Below are 20,716 nucleotides of genomic sequence, written 5' to 3'. Positions count from 1 at the left end.
TGCAGTCAGTGCCTGGGGGCTGGATGACAAGCTGCAGCCTCCCCGCAACCCCACGATTTCCATAGCGCAGTGGAGCCAGAAAGAAACAGACCATTTTACAGACCAGAGAAACAAGGTTGCTGCTCTCTCAGACCCTGGAGCCAGTGACAGGGAAGGCGGAGAAGGGACGAGAGCCTCCGTTTATTCGGAGCCTGTGTATACCCTCCTTTTCACAAACTGTAGCAGCCTCCAGAGGCAGGGGGGATCTTTATGATGACCAAATGGGGAGGCTTAGGGATTGGAAATCACTTGCCCGGGAGCGTGTGGTTGGTACCACTGGGATTTGAGCCTTGTTCCGTCCAGCTCCAGAGCTTGGTGCCTTTCTTGCTCACCACGTGCCGGCCCCAGCTCGTTGCCTTGGCAGTGGAGGTGGTGGTGTGCCGAGGCCTTCCTGCACCCTGGGTTCTCTGGCGCTGAGAAATAAGTGCATGGGCAAAGTGGCTTTGTTTCCAGGTCAGTGACTGTGACCCCATGTGTACACATCTGTGCATCTGACCGTGGCACTGTAACCCAGGGGCATTTTCTAAGTGATGTGCTGGGGGTGTGGGCAGGGAGTGGGGCTTATGGAGCCGACGAGACACCATCAGACCATAGAGAGGCTGCCCAGGCTTGGGAGCCATATGGACCTGGATTTGACCTTGAACAGGTCATTTCACCTGAGTGTGTATAGTGGGAATGATAACATCCGGCTCACAGAACTGTGGTGAGAATTAGAGATGGTGGGTGTCGAATGATTAGCACCTAATCAGCATTTTACAATAAATGCAAATTCTTCCCTTCTCGTAGAAGAGTGGAGTCTGATGAGAGAGACAGGGAAGTGAAAATTCACAGCCCCTGGATGCCAGTGCTGAAGGAGTGGGTTCAGGACTGGGAACATCAGAATGGGCATAGTGACTTATTCTGGGGAAGTCATGAAAAGCTCCCTGGAGGAGGTGATGAAGGGGTACCCAAGCCTGGAAGAGGCTGGCAGTGGTACTCCAGAAACTTCATGGTGGCCTGCAATTTGTGATGCAGATTTTTCCTCACTGTGAGATGCTGGTTGAGACAATTTCCTCCTTGGAGTGGCCTGGTTTTTTAGGGGTAGGGGGAGTGCCCACGTGGGTGTAGTTTCTAGACAGAAGCAGTGGGAGGAGGGCACTGCCAAGCATGCTGCTTGGGATTATGGGTGTCCACAGAGCTGCAGTTTCTCCAAAGGTGTTTTTTGTTTGTTTTTGAGACAGGGTCACACTCTGTCACCCAGGATGGAGTGCAGTGGCCCGATCCTAGCTCACTGCAACCTTGAACTACTAGGCTCGAGGGATCCTCCAACCTCAGCCTCCCAAGTAGCTAGGACTACAGGTGCGTGCCACCATGCCTGGCTAATTTTTAAAATTTTTTGTAGGGATGGGATCTCACTATGTTGTTCAGGCTGGTGTTGAACTCTTGGCTTCAAATGATCCTCCTGCCTCAGCCTCCCAAAGTGTTGGGATTACAGCCGTGAGCCACCATGTTCAGCCTCTCCAAAGTTGTGTTCAATAAGCAATACCAAGTGGCAGTGATGCTGGGAACCTGGGCAAATATAGACAGGAGGGAATTGGACAGGTGGCTCAGAAAACAACTGAAACCTCAGATTGGCATTGGGGCAGGTGACCCGGGGGTTCCCTGGGCCCCATGTTGCCCAAAAGAGCCAGCAGCTGGCCTGGGTGAATACCCTTAAATGCCTTGTGTGTGTTGGAAGGTGCCATGAGACCAGCTGGGCTCTCCTGCCCTGGACCCACCTGCTGCCACAGTGGCCCTTGTTAGGACAGACCTCAAAGGGCTGGGCATGCCCATTAGTTCCTGGGGTATGTCTATGGGGTGTGGACGGTGAAAGCAGGGTTTTCAGTGGGTTTTGCTGACGGGGGTTCTGTGGCATTAGCATCTGGCTTCTTTCCTTCTGCCACCCTGTCCCCTTGTACTGCCAGCCACCCAGCCAGGTGAAGGCGGCATCTAGCTCATTACCATGACTATCAACAACATGACTGTTATGCAGACAGTGGCTCTGGGGTCAGATGGCCTTGGGTTCAAGTCTGACCCCCTCACTTACGATGTGGTCCAAGAGCATTCTCCCAGCCTCTCCCCACCTCTCTGAGCAGCTGTCATTGGGAGGTCGTGAGGATGAGAATGACACCAATGGCATGCTCATGGTAGACCAGGCACTATTCTGGGCACTTTTCATATGCTATTCCATGGAATGTGGGCAAAACCCCTCGGAGCTGGGAGGTATTACCAAGGCCCAGAGAGGGTCATAGCTTGCTCAAGGTCACAGAACTGCAAGATGGATAGCTGGGATTTGATCCCAGGACCCTCTGGCTCCAGAGTCCCTGCTCCCCTCTCCACTACACACACTGGTTGGAACGCAAGGACAGACGTCTCAGCTGGCTTTTGAGCATTTGTGGTTTGTCAGGCGGCTTTGTGGTCAGTGTAGGATGCTTGTCCAGGGATCATGGCAGTTGTTTTCTGGCTTGGCTGGGTGGGCCCTTAGAATTCATCCAGTTTGACATCATTGCATTACTGATGGGAAAGTGGTGCCAGAGGAGGGGAAGGGACTTGCCCAAGATCACGGAGCCAGCTGGGGCAGAGGCAGGACTAGCTTCAGGACTTCCAGCACAAGGCTGCTGCCTCGTTGCCTGAAGGGGTGTGTGGCTGGGGGGCCGGAGCCCAGTTAGGGGCTTGCCGTTCTTTCCCACTCACCTCTCACCTCTCAAGTCACCACAGAGAGCCCAGAGACCAGCTAGCTGCCCTGCAAAGGGCCCCTTGGTCACCAGGAAACAAGTGGGGGGAATGTCAGGTGAGGGGAATGTCAGGTGGGGGAATGTGATGACCCCACACAGCTCATCCCCCCTGCCTGGCGATGGGACTCACTTTCACCTCCTTGCTGGGAAAACTCCTTAGCAACTCGATTTCAGTGCTGCCTCTCTCAGTTGCTCCTGGGTCCCCAGAGGGCCAGGACAGGTTGGAGAAGTGTCCTTGCTGAGGGGGCCCAGACTTTCACCCACCCATTTGCCCCTCCCTCCCCCAGGTGGGTAGAGCCAGGGTGACACCGGTGAAGAGCATGGGCATCATCTGTCAAGGGCATCTGTGTGCCTCACTTGAGCCTGCTCTCCTGATCCATCCATGAGCCCTACAAGGTGGGATTGCTATCCCCGTTTTACAGAAGTGGAGACTGAGGCTCCTAGCTTGAGGTAGGCAGGCCCTCAGGGGATCACACAGAGGCAGATGACTTTCTCAGCTCACCTGCCCTTCCTTCTGCAGAATTGCCTACAACCTTTGACTCTCTAAGGCCTGCGGGGCTCGTGGCAAGCCCTCAGGAACTGTTTATGGAATGAATGAGTGAGGGGCAAACGAATGAATGCATGCTCCCACACCACGCTGCTGCTTCTTCTGGGAGAGGGCACCCAGCGGGTGTCTGCTGTTGAGTGCAGGCTGTCAGAGCCCTGATGGCACCCAGGATAACTCCGGATGGAGTTGGTATCCCTGAGGCTGTCACCACTTCTGGACTCCAAGGAAGGGCCCTATCCAGGGCGTGCAAATAACACTGCAAATGTCATGTCCCGAGGGATTTTGGGAGATCCTATTATAGATGGGGAGACTGAGGCCCAGGGCAGAGAAGGGACTTGCTCAGGGTCATGCAGCAAATTAGCAACGCAGCCAGGGCATGAACCAGGACCTCCTGCTTCCTAGCCCAGTACCCGCTCTTCCACAGGGAACTTCCCTATGGATGTCAGACCCCTCTGCCTCTCCCCTGAGCAGCCTTGCGCAGACCTGGCACGCTGGGATCCCTGGAGGAGGCTGCCGTTTCTGGTTGAAAGCAGCTCTGTGTGTCTGTGTGGGTGGCAGTGTTCTGGGGGCACACTTGATTAGTGGCTTCTCAAACCTGGCCCCCATCCTCAGTGTACAGCCTGTGCTCCGTCCTGCTCAGGCCATTACTGCCCGCCTGTAATGGAATCGGCTGCCCTGGTTAAGTGTTCACATTAAATTAATACCTCCTCCGTGGAGACAATCAGTTGGCATTTAATTTGTCTTTCCTTCCGAGAGCTGGAGAGTACAGCTGGGCAGCCGGGCTCTGATGGGCACGTCTGCGAGACAGCCTTTCCTTGGGATCAGGGGCTCCATGGAGATGGGAGCCGGGAGGCCACAAGAGGTGGTGCCAGGTGTCCCCAGGGGGTGGGGCTTGGGGCAGGCAGGAGGGGGCCTCTTTCATGCGCAGGGGCTAGAGCTTATTGGCTGTCCATTTTCGGGGGAGAAGACGGGCTTGCAGCGTGCCATGTGGGAGAGAAAGTCAGGAGGCAAGGCATCCACACGTGCATCAGTGCTGAGCTGCCCAGGAGGTGAGCCCTGTGTTAGCAGTGGTGGCGGGATTTCCACATTGTATTCCCAGCCCTGCCCCACTCCCACTCCCTTATCGGATTTTCTTTCTGCCTTAAATATGAATTGTCTGTGGTATTCGAGGGGGATGGTGTGCAAGGAGGAAGTTGACTCGGTTGTGGTTTTCAGGTTCTCTAGAAGGGCTCAGAAGAAGCAAGTGGAGGCTGTTGGGGGCACGCAGCCCTGACCCCACCGGGGAGCCTGCTCTGGTCTTCCCAATCCATCAGCTTCTGCAAAACTGCATTTGCAGAAAGGGCTCCCCTGGTCTACCACTGTGCCTGCAGCCTCTTCTTCCAGCTCAGATATTATTTTAGAGAAGAACAGCTGATTGGGGCCCCCAGGCTTGGCCCTGGCTCTGCTGTGAGGATGCCTCTGTGCATCTGCAGGTGGGCAAACACAGGAGCTAGGGCAGCGCAGAGCTGAGGGGCATTGGCTGGGCCAAATCTGTGGTTTGAGCAGCCGGGCTCCAGCACAGCTCCCTGGCCACCTGCATCCAGCCCTGCTGCAGTGGGGTGAGCTCCCCGAGGCCAGGGTGGAGCTGAGAAGGTGCCAGCCCTCCACCCGCCGGGAAGGAAGCTGCTCTCTGCCCCCACCTGCCCTCTGCCAGAGGCCAGGCCCACGCTTGGCCCAGAATGAAGTCTTCCACTGAGGGCTCCAGCCCAGCCTCACCTGAGCTCATTTCCCTTCACCTGAGTGAGTCGGCCTAGGCGTGCCGGCCGCTCGCCTTCCCGCAAGGTGTGGGCCATTTCCACACCTCCCTCCCAACTCTGGAGGTGGGAGGCAGCCATGCGCTGTGCCGTTGACGTGGAGCTGCTGAACACCCATGGTCTGCTGGATGCCAGGGTGCTTTTACCCACACCATCCCCTTCCTGTAGTTCTCACAGCCACCTTCGAAAGGGGGTGGCTGGTTTCCCAACTCACAGAGGGGACAACTGAGGCCCAGAGAGGGTAACTGACTTGCTCAAGATCACGCAACTGGGAAGTGATGGGGCAGGATTTGAACCCGTCTCTTGCTGCCCTGGTGTCTTGGGATGCTCACTCCAGGAGCCCCAGGTTCGTCCCTGGAGGGCTTCATTGTTTTGCTGGGCCTGCACCTACTTTCCTCCTGAGCGGGAGCCTCGAGCCTCTTTTTCTGACTGCACAGGAAGTGAAAAATCTGTGAGTCAGCCCCTCTGCTGGTGACTTCAGCTTGGGTTTCCGCCCCTCTGTAGGGCAGGCTTGTCGGTCCCTTTCCTGCGGGTCTGTGTGTCATCTTGAGCTGACGGGAGAGGGGGAGGCACTGGCCCTGAGTGGGGTGGGGGTGGGGACTGGCATAGAATCTGCCCACCCCTTTTCCCCAGAGGCCAGCAGAGACTTCTCGTCCCTCACGTGGTTCCAGTGGTGGCTCCTCAGGAATGCGGAGAGACCACATCTGGCTGGGGTGGTGCTGCCACCTCTCCCTCCTGGCCACCAGCCTCAGAGAGTGCTTGTTCTGCTAAGATGGTGGCCGAGGCCCCTGATCTCAGCTGCTTTGTGCTTTTGTGGAGTCATTTCCTCTCCCTGCACTCTTTGTTCTGACATCCCTGCCTCCCCTCCCTGGCCCAGGGCTGTGGGAAGTGGGAAAGGGAAGGTTTCTCCTTCTCCTGCCTGCTTCCTGCCCTGGCCATCCCTCCCCCTGGCCTGGCCTGGCCTCTCCCAGGAGAGGCTCTGGAGCCGAATGGATGAAGCTGAGTGCAGGGGCTATGCTGGGAATTTGCCTCCTGTGAGCCCCTGGGCTGGGATGTTCAGTCTAAGGATGCTCTGGGGGAAAGGAGTTCTGTCTGGAGGCGAGGGCCATCAGGGCACTGAGGAGTAAGTGCAGCTTTGGATCCATCCATCCATCCATCCATCCATCCATCCATCTATCCATCCAACCAATCCATCCATCCATCCATCCATCCATCCATCCATCCATCCATCCAACCAATCCATCCATCCATCCATCCATCCATCCATCCATCCATCCATCCATCCAACCAATCCATCCATCCATCCATCCATCCATCCATCCATCCATCCAACCAATCCATCCATCCATCCATCCAACCATCCATCCATCCATCCATCCATCCAACCAATCCATCCAATCCATCCATCCATCCATCCATCCATCCATCCATCCAACCAATCCATCCATCCATCCATCCATCCATCCATCCATCCATCCATCCAACCAATCCATCCATCCATCCAACCAATCCATCCATCCATCCATCCATCCAACCAATCCATTCGATAAATGTCTGACTCCTTAGCAAGTGCCCAGCCAGTTTGAGGTGCAGGGAATACAGTAGCAAGCACAGGAATGATCATCATAACCAGCTCTCTGGGCCTGCAGAAGGACTGGACCCCCGACCTGAGACCCGGCTCCTGTGCCTGTTTTCCCACCTAGACCAGGGAACTTGCCTCTTGCTTCCTCTTTGCCCCATCTCTGTGCCTGAGACCTCCCGAGATGAGTGCCAGCCCCCGGTGGCGGTGGGGAAGGTGGAAGTGGCGGTGACCACACAATGGAGCCATCACTGGCCCTGGCGTCACGGGACTGGCTCCTTTGGGCAAGAGCTGTGTGCCGTGGGATCCCACAACCATGCCACTGGGGAAGAGGAGATCCTGGGGCCTCCACTGCTTTAAGCTGTGGGGCAAACAATGGAAGTGGATGTGAGGCTTGGGGAAGAGATGACATTTGAGACAAGCCTGGGAGAATGGCTAGGGTTTCAGGAGGCTGAGGAGGAGAGAGGAAGAGGGGAAATGAGTTACCTGACCTCTGAGCCTCATCTGCAACATGGGGATGATCCCCAGGGGAGGGCTCAGCGGGATTTTATAGAGGGAAGTATGAGTGCCTAATGTGGTGGATACCACCGAGAAGGTAATCAATAAATGTCCCTTCTCTCATCCAGCGCTAGAAAAGAGAAGGATTTGGAAGTTTTATGAGCTGTTGGGTCAGGGTGGGCAGGGGCGGCTCTCAGTGATTCAGGCCGTGTCAGCCGTGGCTGGAGTTGTCCATAGGCCCTGGGTCTTCATTTTCCCACTTGTAAAGTGGGGACAGGGTAGCTTTCCAGCCCAGTGCATGTGCAGTATGATGGAGGGGATCTATGGAAAGGCCCTGCAGAGAGCACTGGGATGTGTTTGTCACCTCATTTTCTGCCAGTGGCAGGCCTGTCAATATTCTGGAGTCTTCAAAAGACCAGAAAGGACCCCTCCCCAGCCAACAGAACAGCTCCTGGACTGCTGAGGGAGACTCGAGGAAAATGGCCTTTGTGCCCCAAAAGTGATCTCTTTATGTTCACTCCAGCCTTCCTTCCCCTTTCAGCCTTAAAGGGCCCGGGCGTAGGATTCTGTCAGACCTGGGTTCGAATCCAGGCGCTGCCACTTCCTAGGCAGTCTTTGGGCAAGTCGTTTGCTCAGCCATGGGCTGGGGCTGGGAGAGGGGATGGTGCAGGCTGAAAGGAAACGATGTCTGCAAACCGCTGATCCAAAGTAGGTGCACCCGCCTCTTGGTGGCAGACAGCGCCTGGCCTGTCCCTTCCTGCTGCCCTCTTTGTTTCTGTTGGTCCCTCTGCCTGAAACACCCTCCCCACTGAAACCTTACTCTTGTGGGCAGACCCAGGGAAGAGGGAGGGTTGTGCTTGGGAAGCTGGTGTTGAAATCTCTGTGCCAGCAACTTGGTTCACCAGTTCTCAGTTAAGCTGAGTGCTCCCTGGCTCTGGGTGGGTGGGCAGGGAATACAGGTGTCTGGAGTGCCGTAAGAAACACATCGCCCACCTGGCCCTTCATGCCAGTCCTCAGAACGATCCAAGGACAGAGCTTTTCTGCATTGTCAACACTGGAGCTGGCGGAGCCAGGTTTTCTCCACCACCGCCGGGAGGGATGTCAGGGCGGGCGACAGGCTCTTCAGTCAAGCCAGCTGCTGTCCACATGCGGGGTCTGTCCTCAACCTCCTGGGAGCAGGCCAGCCGGCTGCCTCCCCCGTCTGGCTTTGGAAATAAAAAGCCCGTGAAATCATTTGTGCAAGCTCATCCTGGGGGTGTGGTATGTGCAGTCAGGAAACACGATTGAGATGTGGGGTTGGGAGGGTGCAGAACTCGGGGCAGGAAGGGAGAGGTGAGGTGGAGGGGCTGGGTTGTGTGGTCTTCAGAGCCTGGCCACTCAGTGCCATCTGTAGCCCAGCATCACTGGGGAGCTGTCTGCCCCAGCCCTCGCCTGCGGAACCAGCTTCTGCATGTTAATAAGATGCCCAGGTGATTGGTATGCACATTCTAGGCTGAGACACGCTGCTTTAGAGACTGGACTAGCTTTGAGTCCCAGCTCCCTGCTTGCTAGCTCTGTGACCTTAGACAAGTTACTTTACCTCTTTGAACCTCAGCTCCCTCATCTGCAAGATGGGCTTAGTTAGAAATTCTTTCCCCAAGAGGGTTAATAATTCACATTCAAGCCAGTGATGTGTGTGTCCAAGGCAGTGAGCCGGGTGTGTGGGGCCCAGAACGTACCCCCCAGTTAATGGTTGCTGGTGCTGTTGCTGTTATTGTGTCTGGAAAGCCAAAGATCTGGGCTCCTGCTGTCACCTTGGGTGGATTTGGGGCAAGTCTCATTCCCTCTCTGGTCCTCGTTTTCTCCGTCTGTACAAGGGTTCTATTGGCCCCTGCCTCGCCTTCCTCATGAGATGGTTGCTCAAAGGAGAAGTGAGGGGTGCTGGGCCTCATTCCCAAGGGCCCCTCTGGGGAATGGGGAGTGTCGGGGAGGTGCCCCTGGGTGCCTGCGTCCAAGGGAGGAGCCATGCCATTCTTTATTTTTTGTGCCCTTCTTTGCTACTCCTGCTCTTGCTGCAAGATGTGTTAGCAGGTTCGCTCTAGACTCCAGGCTGCAGCCAGAGGCTTGCCGGGGCTCGCCCTTGCACCTGCCCTGCTCAGCGGCTTTGGAATTGAGTCGCCTTCCCCGCTCTGAGCCGTGTGGCCAGGAGAGATGATTCAGCTCGGGACCTGTGCTCCAGCCTTTACCCCCCAGAGAAGCCCCAGATGCCCTGTGCTCCTGGGCAGGGATGGGGTGGCCTGGGAACTTTCCCCCCATTGTGATTCCTGTCCCCAACATGGGGCCTGCTCTTCTCGGTGAGAGGTGGCCTGGGACCGGACTCCTAGCCTTGCTCCTGATATACTGGGTGATGTGGGCAAATGGCTTGACCACTCGGCTTCAGTTGCCCCATCTGTACAATGAGGGGAGGTTCAGTGAGATGGTCCTGGCTGGATTAGGCCCTTAGGTTCCCTCCCTGCCCCCTCTTAGCTTTCTCTGTGCCCTCCAGCCCTGGAAGGAATCCCAGCCCCTTGCCCTCCAGGTCCGGGCCCGGGAGCCCACGCAGATCTCAGCCTAACAGCTAATGCTGGGGCTGGGAAAGGCTGGAGAAAAGGGGGAGAGGGAGAGAGTGTGTGTCCTCCAGGAGCCCTGGCTGGGCTGTCTCCTGTGGGAGAGAGGAGGAATTTTCCTCTGTGTGTGCAAACAGTATCCGTTTTCTCTTGTTTCCAAAAGCCGGTGACGTAACCGGCTCTCCACCCCTCCCTCCCCTCTGGCCTATTTTTAGCTGGCCCTGACAGCATCCTAAAAGGGTTCCAGACTGCCCTGCTCCGAGGCCATGTAGGGAGGGTAGCAGTGGGGTGAGGAAGGAAAGAAACTCCTCTGTCTGTCCCAGGATGGACAGACATCCGAGGAGGGAAAGAACCTGCCCCCAGCTTCCTCCAGGGAGGGAGGAACTCTGTTGGAGGAGCTGGGTTAGGGCCTTTAGGCTTTGACAGTTCCTGGGTCTATGAGGAGCTCCGCAAGGGGATTCTGAGCAACCAGTCTGGAGCGTCCCCACCTGGGTTTCAGTCCTAGTTCCACACTATCTCACCCTGGCCTTGGGTTCAGCTTGTGCCTCTGGGCCTTGCTTTCTGCACCTGGGGATAATGACGGTGCCTACGTCATAGGTTGTTACGAGGATTGAATTAACTTCATGTAGAACAGTGCCTGGTACAAAGTAAGTCCCAGTGAAGGTGGTTCTGGAATTGGTAATATCATCCAGTCCCAGGGAACTGCTCCCACCCCTTCCTGCAGTTAAGGGCGGGGGTCCACTGAACCCTCCTTTGCCTTCTCCCCTCCCGCCCGCGTTTCCTATTCAGCTTCGGGCAGTACTCGTGTCAAAGTAGTGGTGTGGAAGCCCTTGGAACAACAGGGCTTGGCACATAGTAAACGCTAAATCAGTGGGAACTGTATTTATTGAGTTTTGTTTCAATGTAATAAAACAGCCCCACCTGCTGACTCGCTGTGTGTCTTTGGGTTAGATGTTTATTTAACCTCTCCGAGCCTCAGTTTCCACTTCTGTAAAATGGAATGATAACACCTACGTAGGAGAGATCTGTGTTGGTTTGGGTAGGCTGTCGGGCATCGCAATGCTTAGCACAATAAAAGTTTGTTTCTTGTGGGTGCAAAGAACAGCCTGAGAGTGGAGCTGGCTGCAGCCTGGCTCCTAAGGACTGGCTTTGCTACTGCATCTTGCAGCAACAACAGGAGCAGCAGTGCTTGCACAGCACTTTACAGTTTGCATGCAGGCAGGGTGGTGGTCCCTCCCACCTCTGTCTTCACGAAGTGCTGGGCTCATACCTTAACGTGGCACTTGTCACCACCACCTGATACTCTGGTTATATGTCAGCCTGGCTGTCCTCTCACACCACCTCCCCTAGGCTGGGAGCTCCCAGAGGGCAGGCAGGGATGGATGCCCCAATGCACCTTCCTTGCCCAGCTCAAGATAGTCCCTGGGTGGGTGTTGGGGTTGTGTCTGAGGGCTGGACTGGCACAGGGAACTCACCTTCTGACCACCTGTTCCTCTTGGCTTTTGCAGGTGGGAGGAGGAGCTCGCCAAGCGCATGAACCTTCAGACCATGGTGGACACGCTGCAGGAGGTAAGAGCCCTCCGATATCCCGACCAGGAGAGGCACGCCAGAGAGCCATGTGGCCAAGGGGCACAGTCTTCATGCGGCAAAGCCAGGAAATTCTTGCACAGCCCCTACTCTGTTACCTCCTACCACCTCAGTCTCTCCTTTATGGAGCCAAGAGATCCCTTCCACTTCCTCTGCTTGGAAGCTAGGAATGGACCAGCACAGTGTTGCACAAGAGCTCTGATGCAGGGGTTGAGAAGCCTGGGTCCAGGTCCCGGGGTGCAAGTCCCAGCTGCTGTATGACCTGGGACCAGCGACCCTTCTCACCCGTCACTGTCTCCCCACCTGAGGCTTGGACTAGGTGGTTTGTAAGCCCCCAAGCAAGAAGGGTGCCCTCGGTTGGGGCTGAAGGCCTTGGAGAGGGCAGGTGGGCACGTCGCAGGTGGGCTCCCAGCCTGAGCAGGCTCTCTGTGGTGGGCATTTGGGAACATTCCCCTTGCTGCTCTAGCTGGAATCTCTGCATTCTGGGCTCTGCAACTCCCCCACCTGCGGTGTAACCTGGGCAGCAAACTTCATCTTCTCAGCCTCTATTTTCCTCTCTGACAAGTGGGAGCAAGAGTAGCAACCCCATGAGAAGGCATGAAAAGTTCTTCCAAAAATGTCTAGAAATTGCGTTCTGATACTGAAAGCATTTGTCGTCTAAGACAGTTAGAGACAGATTAAGATAATTGTCAATGCGTAGAAGGAAAAGGTTGAATATCTCCCTTTCTTTTATAATGAAAGGGCTTTTTTCTTTATAAATTTAACGGGTTCATCGTCAAATATGTGGAAACTATAGAAAAGCCCAAAAATAAAAATTATTTCCAGTTCCTCCTTCCACAGTTGAAAAACTGGCGTGTGACCTTCCGATCTTGTCTGTGTGGACACACACCCACGCTCTTCAGACGCATGTTAGGTCGACACACATGACATTGTCATTTTTGAAAGCAGAGATGGCCCAATACTGGCAGTTTCACACGGATTGATCTCATATTTTTAACGTAATAGGATTGCTTGTTAATTAACCTGCTCTTTTAATACCTTCCATGGATTTTCCCACGTAATAGATAACGCTTTGAAAAGTGTTTTAAGCAGTCAACAGTGTTCAGTGGGAAGTCAGGCTGGGATGAGGTCCTTGGTGCCCCTTCCCTGGCTGCAGGTGCCCAGCTGGGGTGGACATCGGGTGCCTAGGGCTCTGGACTCAGGTGTCCAGACCCTCCTATCCCCAGAGGACCCGGCCCCTCTGAAGCCTCCCCATCTCCGTCCCCGCAGGCAGCACAGGAGGCTGATGCCATCCAGGAGGAGATGAATGAGAAGATCGAGCGGCTCAAGGCCGAGCTGGTGGTGTTTAAGGGGCTTATGAGTGACGTAAGTGCCGCCCGCCGCCCCTGGGTGTCATGACCTCCCCCACACCCATCATGCAAAATGCTTCATTCCCTCCGAGGCTCCGGGGCTCGGCTTCTAGTTAGAATCCTGGCTGGCTGTGTTTGACCATGAGGATGACGGATGCATTGGATGCATCGGAGACCAGGCACCCTCCTCCCGCCCCCTCCCCACTTCTGCTTCCCTCGGTCTGAGTAGAGATGCATTAATCTGCCGCTTAACCTATCCCGCCCTCCCCCGGGCTCCCCTGATGGTCTGTGTGTGTTTGCTCCCACTCCTTCCCAGCTCGCCTTGATGAGGGCAGGCCTCGGTGTCTGGGCGTAGCAGGGCGTCTGGCAGGTTGGGCCAGGTGCCGTCTGGTCTGTGCGGGCCTGAGAGACTCGCAGGCCCAGCGGCCTTTGGCAGGGTTGCTCCATGAGGTCAGGAAAGGCCAGTGCGCGTGTCTTTTTGACAATCTGGGGCCCCTCTAAGTATCTGTGGGTGGGGGGAGCTGTTGGCAGCAAAGGGCTCCTTGCTGCTGGGGACCCAGGTCTCCTCCCCTTCAAACAGTGGGCAGTACAGGGGGAGACCCCACCAGAAGGCAGAAGGGGCCAGAACGTGGGTGACTGAGCCTGGCATGGCTCCTGGTGTGGAGGGACGTGAAGCTGGGTGTGGTTGGTAGAAGCCTCCCAGGACCCTAGTTGGAGGCCACTGGGCTCCCTCTCACTTGTGTCCAAGGGGATCAACCCTGTGGTCCTCAGTGACTCCCACTGCCGGCCTTGGGAGGCATCCAGGAGAGAGAGCTGCCTGTGTGGGGGACAGGTGGGGTGTGCCGGTGGGAAAAGAAGGGCTGTCTTTCTCCAGCGGGAGTTGTCTTTTTTCTTCGCTCTAACAAAGTGAACACGGACCCTGTGTCTGCTGGGAGGATGCCTTCCAGCCCTTAGGGAGAGCAGCACACACGGCGTCACACTGGCCCCTGACTCCCAAGGCCCCAACCCCATCCCACCCTGACCAGTGCCGCCGCAGCCCTCCACTCCACGGAAAAGCCCAAGGCACCCTCGGACTCTGGAGGCCTCCCCGCACCACCCCTGCTGACACCTAGGGGTCTCCCCACCTCTCTGCCAAGCCCCCCAGGCTTGCTCCATCCCTCGCTCATGTAAACCCTGCTGTCCTCCCTGCAGCCCATGACAGACCTGGACACAAAGATCCAAGAAAAGGCCATGAAGGTGGACATGGACATCTGCCGCCGAATCGATATCACGGCCAAGCTGTGCGATGTCGCACAGCAGCGGAACTCAGAAGACGTGTCCAAGATCTTCCAGGTGACTAGGGCTGCCCTGCTCACCAGCCAACCCCCCACTCTCCCAGAGCAGCCCTGGCCTCCACCCCTGCCCGGCCAACCCGTTTGCCTCCACATCCCACTCACTCCCTCCCCTTCCCCGAGAGGTAGCACTACCTGACCCTGTGGCCTCCCCAGGAAAACGTAGAATCAGGCACCCGTGGACTCATAGGCTCGTCTGACTGCTTCATCCTATGGCTGGGGAGACCGAGGCCCAGAGGGTGATGTGCTGTGCTCACGGAAGGAAGTGGCAGAAATCAGTCTCCTGCCCCTCCAGGGCTTGGTTCACCAGCCCACACTGTACCCATTGTCCCGCTTCCTGCCCCTTCCTCTGGGTGCCAGAACTGGGCATCATCCCCACGGTTGGGGAACCCTGGCCAGGTTATGGGGAGAAGTGGGGGAGCTGGCCTGAGCTCTGGTAGAGGGGCCTCAGAGTTCAGAAGAGGAGCTGTTGGCCTTTGACTATTTTTCATTCCACCCCAAAGAGGCTCTCGATACCCCCCCGACCTAACGTGCAAGTGTGGGTGCCCCCGAGAGACGGCGATCAGGTTAGCGCCAGTGAGGCTGTCTTCCAGAGAGGGCTTGGGGGGCCAGTCCAGCCGAATGAGGCACATGTCATTCTCCGAAGGCTGCTTCTTGAGTTTCGGGTTGTGGTTTGGCTTTTGCTTGAGCCCAGGGCAATACGGTGTGTTGTCGCTCTGTGTGTGTGACTTTGACGTCGCTGGGCCAGATCTGGGCCTCCCTGGGGCCCTCTCTCCACCTCCATGCCTTCTTGCTGTCCCTCTGCCGGGAAGCAGGGGAGGCCAACGCAGCCTTCGTTTGCTCGTGGCTTGTCTGCTTGGAGTGGAAGCTTTCGGTGAACCTTGGGCCGTCTGTCCTTTGCCTTTGCATGTGAGCAGGAGGGCTCTGGTCAGCATGGGGCCGTATAGCCTTTGTCAGGGGTTCTCCATCTCTCTGGCTGGCTCTGAGATATCCCAGGCAACTCTGTGTCCCGGTCTGGCCTGCTCCTCTCCCCAAACTGTGGGGCTGCTTCTGTGGTAAAAGGGCGAGCCGAGCCGGCGCACCCACCAGGCCGCCCAGGGCAGGGAAGAGTCCAGGCCGTCTGTGTCCCCCTGCATGTCTCCCACCTCGCGCTTCCTGCTAACGCCGCCTGCTTCTTAGAGGACCTGCACCTTTCCTGGCACTGGCCGGCCCCAGTCACGCTCATCATCCTGTGAGATGCCGGCTCCCTTCCCAGTTCACCCCTACCTTCCATCCTAGCCGAGCCCCCCAGTTACCTTGATTGCTTCCTTTCCGGTTCAGGTGGTCCCCAAAAAGAAAGAGCGTAAGGTGGCTTCCGATGATGACATCTCTGAGCAGGACGGGGAGGTGAACCGGTTCTCGGACGATGAGGTCGGCTCCATGAACATCACCGATGAGATGAAGCGCATGTTTAACCAGCTGTGAGTATCCCCGTGGCCCGCACACTCTCCGTTTCCCCGGATTGCTTGCACAGGGGCGGTGAATGGGAGGCTTGGGCTGAGAGTAGCCTGCAGCACTGGAAGAATTTGAATTCATTTCCTTTTTTTTTTTGAGACAGGGTCTCACTTTGTCACCCAGGCTGGAGGCTGGAGTGCGGCGGCATGGTCACAGCTCACTGCAGCCTCAACCTCTTGGGTTTAGGGATCCTTTCATCTCAGCCTCCCAAGTAGTTGGGAGCACAGGCATGTGCCACCATGCCCAGCTAATTTTTAAATTTTTTTGTAGAGACAGGGTCTCACTGTGTTGCCCAGGCTGGTCTCAAATTCCTGAGCTCAAGCGATGCTTCTGCCTTGGCCTCCCAAAGTGCTGGGATTACAGGCGTGAACCACTGCACACAGCCAAGACTCATTTTCAACATTTGTAATTTGGGAAATTTCATATGTTCAGCCTCTCTTGGAAGCTCGAGGAGGTCAGGCATTGCTGAGCCTGGGGCACAGTTGACAGGGCTGGATGGCAGCTGCTGAATCTGGACAGGCGCATACTCTTCCATTCGCCAGCATCCTTTATGTTCCCTGTCTGCCATTCTCCTGCCTTTCCTTCGAAAGCTTCCTCCAAAAAAGCGGTGGGAGAAGGGGTGTTCTTGCCCATGAGATACAGGGGCTGGGCTGTCCTCTCTCTGGACATGTCTGTGTCTGAGGATGTCATGAACCCAGAAGGGGCAATGGCAGATGTGGTCTTATTTGTAGGCTATTTTTTTTTTTGAGACAGTCTCACTCTGTCACCCAGACTGGAGTATAGCGGCCAGATCTCGGCTCACTGCAACCTCTGCCTCCCGGGTTCCAGTGTTTCTCCTGCCTCAGCCTCCCAAGTAGCTGGAATCACAGGCATGCACCATGATGCCCGGCTAATTTTTGCATGTTTAGTAGAGGCAGGGTTTTACCACGTTGGCCAGGCTGGTCTCGAACTCCTGACCTCCAGTGATCTGCCTACCTCTGCCTCCCAAAGTGCTGGGATTACTGGCATGAGCTACCGTTCCTAGCCTGTGGGCCGTTCTTGAGCAGACCTTAACCAGACCCACCTGCACTAGTTTCCCTTGGTGGGCTGGCTGTGTTGACCGCACGGCTTGCAGAAATGGCTCCTGATGTTCGCTTGGAGGGGGCTTCACAAATGTCACTTTGCTCACTCCAGACGCCCATCCTAGGAGATGGGGTATCACTCCCCTTTTGTAGACAGGGAAACTGAGACTCTGAGAGGAGAAGGGACTTGGGTAACACCACTCAGCTAGTATGTGGCTGAGCTGGGATTCAGAGCCAGGCTGCCTCCCACGCTAGTACGCTGTCAGTAGGAAACACTGCTTGGGGTGGTGGCAGGGTCTGGGCTGGGTATGATCAGTGGTGGGCGAGCCTGCTGGCGCCAGCTCTTAGAAGCTGCTATACCCACTCCAGGCTCAGTGATGTCATATTAGTACCTTAAAATTTGCCATTGCAGGAAATCAGAGCTACCAATCAGAGCTCTGGGAGGCTCTGCCACCTCCCGGAAGCCCCCCAGAGAGGGCATGCTCCTTCTAGCAGATGCCTTTGACATCATTTGTTTCAAAAGCCCAGGGCACGGGCTCTCCTAACCTCCCTGCAGAGCTCTGAGGCTGGCTCAGAATTCCATAGTCCAGAGCTCACTCTGCCCAGCCACTTCATTGTACAAATGAGAGAATGGACTCAGAGGGGCACACAGAGCCAGGCCCCCAACTCTTGGTCCAGTGCTTTGTCCCCCACGCCATGCCTGGAAGAGAATTCTCTCTTCTGTCCCTATTCTAGGCTGACTTTTAAGGTAGACAGGAGGCAGAGGCAGGGTTGGAACTGGGTGGGGACAGGAACTCTTTTGCCTGATACTTCCTGGACCTGCCATTCCCTTGAAACAGAACTGGGATCGGAGCTGTATTTTGGGGGTTTGCTATTTAAGGGTGATAAGGAGACCCCTAGATTCTTGATTCCTCTTTTGATACCCCCCATCTCATATTCTCATCTTTTGCTGCCTGCCAAGAGGGGCTTTTTTTTTTTTTTTTTTGAGATGGAGCCTTGTTCTGTTGCCCAGGCTGGAGTGTGGTGGTGCGATCTCAGCTCACTGCAGCTTCCACCTCCTGGGTTCAAGCAATTCTCCTGCCTCAGTCTCCGAAGTAGCTGAGACTACAGGCACACACCACCACACCCAGCTAATTTTTTTTTGTATTTTTTTAGTAGAGACTGGGTTTTACCGTGTTGCCCAGGCTAGTCTCAAACTCCTGTCCTAAAGTGATCCGCCCACCTTGGCCTCCCGAAGTCCTGGAATTACAGGCATGAGCCACTGCACCTGGCCAATAGGGGCTTTTGGAAAGAAGCAGTGGTTGGGTCTAGGTTTTCTGAACGTTGCCCTGGGCACTTCTGAGCCCTAAGACAGGATTGTATGTCCCGGAGATCCCAGGCTGGGTCCATGTGGTTAAATTAAAGGACTTATCTGAAGAAATTGTTGTCCCTGCTTTTATAAAGTCCCCAGGGCATTGTTAAGCTGACCAGCAATGGAGTGAGCTAAAAAGGAGACAGATCAGAGTGGAAGCCAGGGGGCCCCATGGGCAAAGGCTCCAGTGTGTAGAAAGAGCATTCAGATCCAAGTCAGGCGAGACTGGCTGCAGGAGTGGGCGCCTCTGTGTTGATAGAGCTAAATTGGGTTCAGTATGGAATTCGATTTAGCTGGTTGTAAAGTTACCTAAGTTAAAACAAACAGGCCGGGCGCGGTGGCTCACGCCTGTAATCCCAGCACTTTGGGAGGCCGAGGCAGGCGGATCACGAGGTCAGGAGATCGAGACCATCCTGGCTAACACGGTGAAACGCTGTCTCTACTAAAAATACAAAAAATTAGCCGGGCGTGGTGGCGGGCGCCTGTAGTCCCAGCTACGCAGGAGGCTGAGGCAGGAGAATGGCGTGAACCCCAGGGGGCGGAGCCTGCAGTGAGCCGAGATCGCACCACTGCACTCCAGCCTGGGCGACAGCGAGACTCCGTCTCAAACAAACAAACAAACAAACAAAAAAACAACAACAACAACAAACAACGAAACCTCTGATCACTTTGATCACCCCCCACCCCCATTCTGCAGTTCTGTGTGGGCCGCCCTGACCCCACCCCAGGCGGGGCCCTGGGCCTTTCCCATGGACATCTCCACCAGCTGTGGGCAGGACCCTAGCCAGGCTGCCCCTGGCCAGATCTGATGAAGTGTTTGAATAATGCAGCCGTGTTACAGTTGTGTTTTGTTTTGATCCAAGTCGGTTGTTTGGGCTTCAGACCAAGGAGAAGAGGGGGAACGTGTGGGTCTCCCCCGCTGGGGCCAAGGCTCCTCCTCAGCCCCACTCCGCAGATTTGTGAAGTGGAGGCCTCTTCCGAGTCCCTTCTCTTGCCCGTCTTTCTGTCCTTTCCAGCTTCCTGTCCCTCGGCTGGGGTTTCCTTCAGATCCCAGACGCTGGGAAGGAAGTGAAGTCAGGAATTGAGTGTGTGATGCAGTGACCACTGGACCCTGGCGGCTCCGGGCCACACGGCCCTCTCCAGCACCCACCCCCTACCAGCTCAGGACCCTGGACTCGGGGAGCCACCTATGGGCTCCTGTGGGAATGGCTTTTGGAGGGGAGCCGGCCCGGCCTGACTCCAGGGGGCGCTCGAGGCAGCTTTTTACCAGACGGCCTTCTTGGGACCGGCCCAGTCCCCAACCCAGTCCATTGGGAACACTCATTGTTGCTCTGGAGGATCCAGGAAGGAGTTGAGGGAGGGCAGGCAATGGGGAGAGCCCTGGGATGGCAGCCTGGAGACAGGGTCCACATTGTCCTGTGCTACCGATGCACTGAGTCAAGTGATTTCACTCCTACAGACTCAGCCTTCCCCTTGGAAATAGGGGTATGTTGGATGAGCTGATCTTTAGGTCTCCTCCAGTTGGGGTAACCAAGGCATCTTGGGAACCCCTTAGTCCCAGGCAAACCTGCCTGGTTGGTCAACCTACTTCTAGTTCTAGCCAATAGGGAGGTCTTGACATCTCCCAGGCTTTGAATTCAAATCTCATTTCCAGCATGTATTGGTCTAGAAGGCCACTGAATCCCTCTGAGCCTCTGTTTCCTCACCTGCAAAATGGGAACGATAGTTATGCTTACCTCATAGGATTGTTTTGAGGGTGGAATTGTTTTGAGGGCGTTGCATTTTGCTGCATGCTTAGTGGCTGGTCCAGTGCCCAGCACCTAATGGGTGCTTGGGGAGTGTCTTGATGGGGAGGAAAAAGCTGTAGGAAACAGAAACATTCGGCATTCTAGCCTATTTCTGCTACATGCTAGCTGTGTGGCTTTAGACAGTTGAGTTATCCTTTCTGAGCCACCATTTCTTCATCTGTAAAATAGGTATAATACCAACCTTTCCAAATTGCAGAGAAGATGATATTATATTGAACATCTCACTCAAACTAGAGGCTCAAGAAATAGCTGTTAAATGAATGAGGAAAATTGCAAGATTGGACTTGGAGGAAAATATCTTTAGTCCCAATTAATTAAAGCCTGACATTAAAAAAAAAATACACATTTTTAATTGTACAAGCAATACATAAATACATTCTGCATTTTAAAAGAGTTAAACTCCTTTTGGATAAGGCGAATGTCCCCTTTGGCTTACTACCCCTGTCTTTCCTGAGGACAGCCTTGAAGCTGTGTACCTGCTGGGCAGCTGCCCCTTTCTGTCCCCTGTATGGGTCCCTGGAGCCTGCCTTCTGTTCAGTCATGCCCTCTGGTGTCACCCCCACAGGCGGGAGACCTTTGACTTTGACGACGACTGTGACAGCCTGACGTGGGAAGAGAATGAAGACACGCTGCTGCTCTGGGAGGATTTCACCAACTGCAATCCGACCATCGACCTGCAGGGCGAGGTAAGCCCAGCGCCTGGCTTCCCAAAGGCCAGGACTAGGGGTCTGGGGGACACCGCCTTTCAATGGTCCCTCATCCCTGTTATTTTTCTACAGCCCCCACCACACAGCTAAACTGTCCCCTTTGGGCCAGGCGCAGTGGCTCATGCCTGTAATCCCAGCACTTTGGGAGGCCGAGGTGGGCGGATCACCTGAGGTTGGGAGTTCGAGACCAGCCTGGCCAATATGGCGAAATCTCATCTCTACTAAAAATATAAA

At 55.5% G+C, this 20,716-nt stretch overlaps 1 protein-coding gene across 3 annotated transcripts in view, besides 6 other annotated features; it reads left to right on the top strand.

The window, feature by feature from the left end:
- Positions 1-20,716, top strand: part of IFFO2 (intermediate filament family orphan 2) — a 52,397-nt gene that overhangs the window by 24,253 nt on the left and 7,428 nt on the right. The window contains exons 2-6 of one of the 3 annotated variants that reach the window (NM_001136265.2): positions 11,303-11,363; positions 12,651-12,746; positions 13,922-14,062; positions 15,382-15,521; positions 20,341-20,461. In NM_001136265.2, coding sequence (NP_001129737.1) covers positions 11,303-11,363; positions 12,651-12,746; positions 13,922-14,062; positions 15,382-15,521; positions 20,341-20,461 — 559 coding nt within the window. The remainder of the gene's footprint in view (positions 1-11,302; positions 11,364-12,650; positions 12,747-13,921; positions 14,063-15,381; positions 15,522-20,340; positions 20,462-20,716) is intronic. The other 2 variants (XM_011540630.3, XM_047444839.1) reach the window with 2 other exon arrangements.
- Positions 4,205-4,254: an enhancer, noted in NCBI's record as "active region_286". NCBI's record gives its function as "activates an Ori minimal core promoter by ATAC-STARR-seq in GM12878 lymphoblastoid cells {active_cell/tissue: GM12878}" and the evidence as "EXISTENCE:reporter gene assay evidence [ECO:0000049][PMID:35858748]".
- Positions 4,585-4,674: an enhancer, noted in NCBI's record as "active region_285". NCBI's record gives its function as "activates an Ori minimal core promoter by ATAC-STARR-seq in GM12878 lymphoblastoid cells {active_cell/tissue: GM12878}" and the evidence as "EXISTENCE:reporter gene assay evidence [ECO:0000049][PMID:35858748]".
- Positions 4,923-5,549: an enhancer, noted in NCBI's record as "H3K27ac-H3K4me1 hESC enhancer chr1:19253369-19253995 (GRCh37/hg19 assembly coordinates)". NCBI's record gives its function as "activates a minimal SCP1, AML or CMV promoter by ChIP-STARR-seq in naive H9 embryonic stem cells {active_cell/tissue: H9 hESC(naive)}" and the evidence as "EXISTENCE:reporter gene assay evidence [ECO:0000049][PMID:30033119]".
- Positions 5,175-5,294: an enhancer, noted in NCBI's record as "active region_284". NCBI's record gives its function as "activates an Ori minimal core promoter by ATAC-STARR-seq in GM12878 lymphoblastoid cells {active_cell/tissue: GM12878}" and the evidence as "EXISTENCE:reporter gene assay evidence [ECO:0000049][PMID:35858748]".
- Positions 5,575-5,794: an enhancer, noted in NCBI's record as "active region_283". NCBI's record gives its function as "activates an Ori minimal core promoter by ATAC-STARR-seq in GM12878 lymphoblastoid cells {active_cell/tissue: GM12878}" and the evidence as "EXISTENCE:reporter gene assay evidence [ECO:0000049][PMID:35858748]".
- Positions 9,506-10,086: an enhancer, noted in NCBI's record as "H3K27ac-H3K4me1 hESC enhancer chr1:19248832-19249412 (GRCh37/hg19 assembly coordinates)". NCBI's record gives its function as "activates a minimal SCP1, AML or CMV promoter by ChIP-STARR-seq in naive H9 embryonic stem cells {active_cell/tissue: H9 hESC(naive)}" and the evidence as "EXISTENCE:reporter gene assay evidence [ECO:0000049][PMID:30033119]".

This window comes from Homo sapiens, chromosome 1, assembly GCF_000001405.40.
Source record: "Homo sapiens chromosome 1, GRCh38.p14 Primary Assembly".
Taxonomy (NCBI): domain Eukaryota; kingdom Metazoa; phylum Chordata; class Mammalia; order Primates; family Hominidae; genus Homo; species Homo sapiens.
Note: the sequence above shows the minus strand (reverse complement) of the source record. Positions and strands in the feature narration are given on the sequence as shown.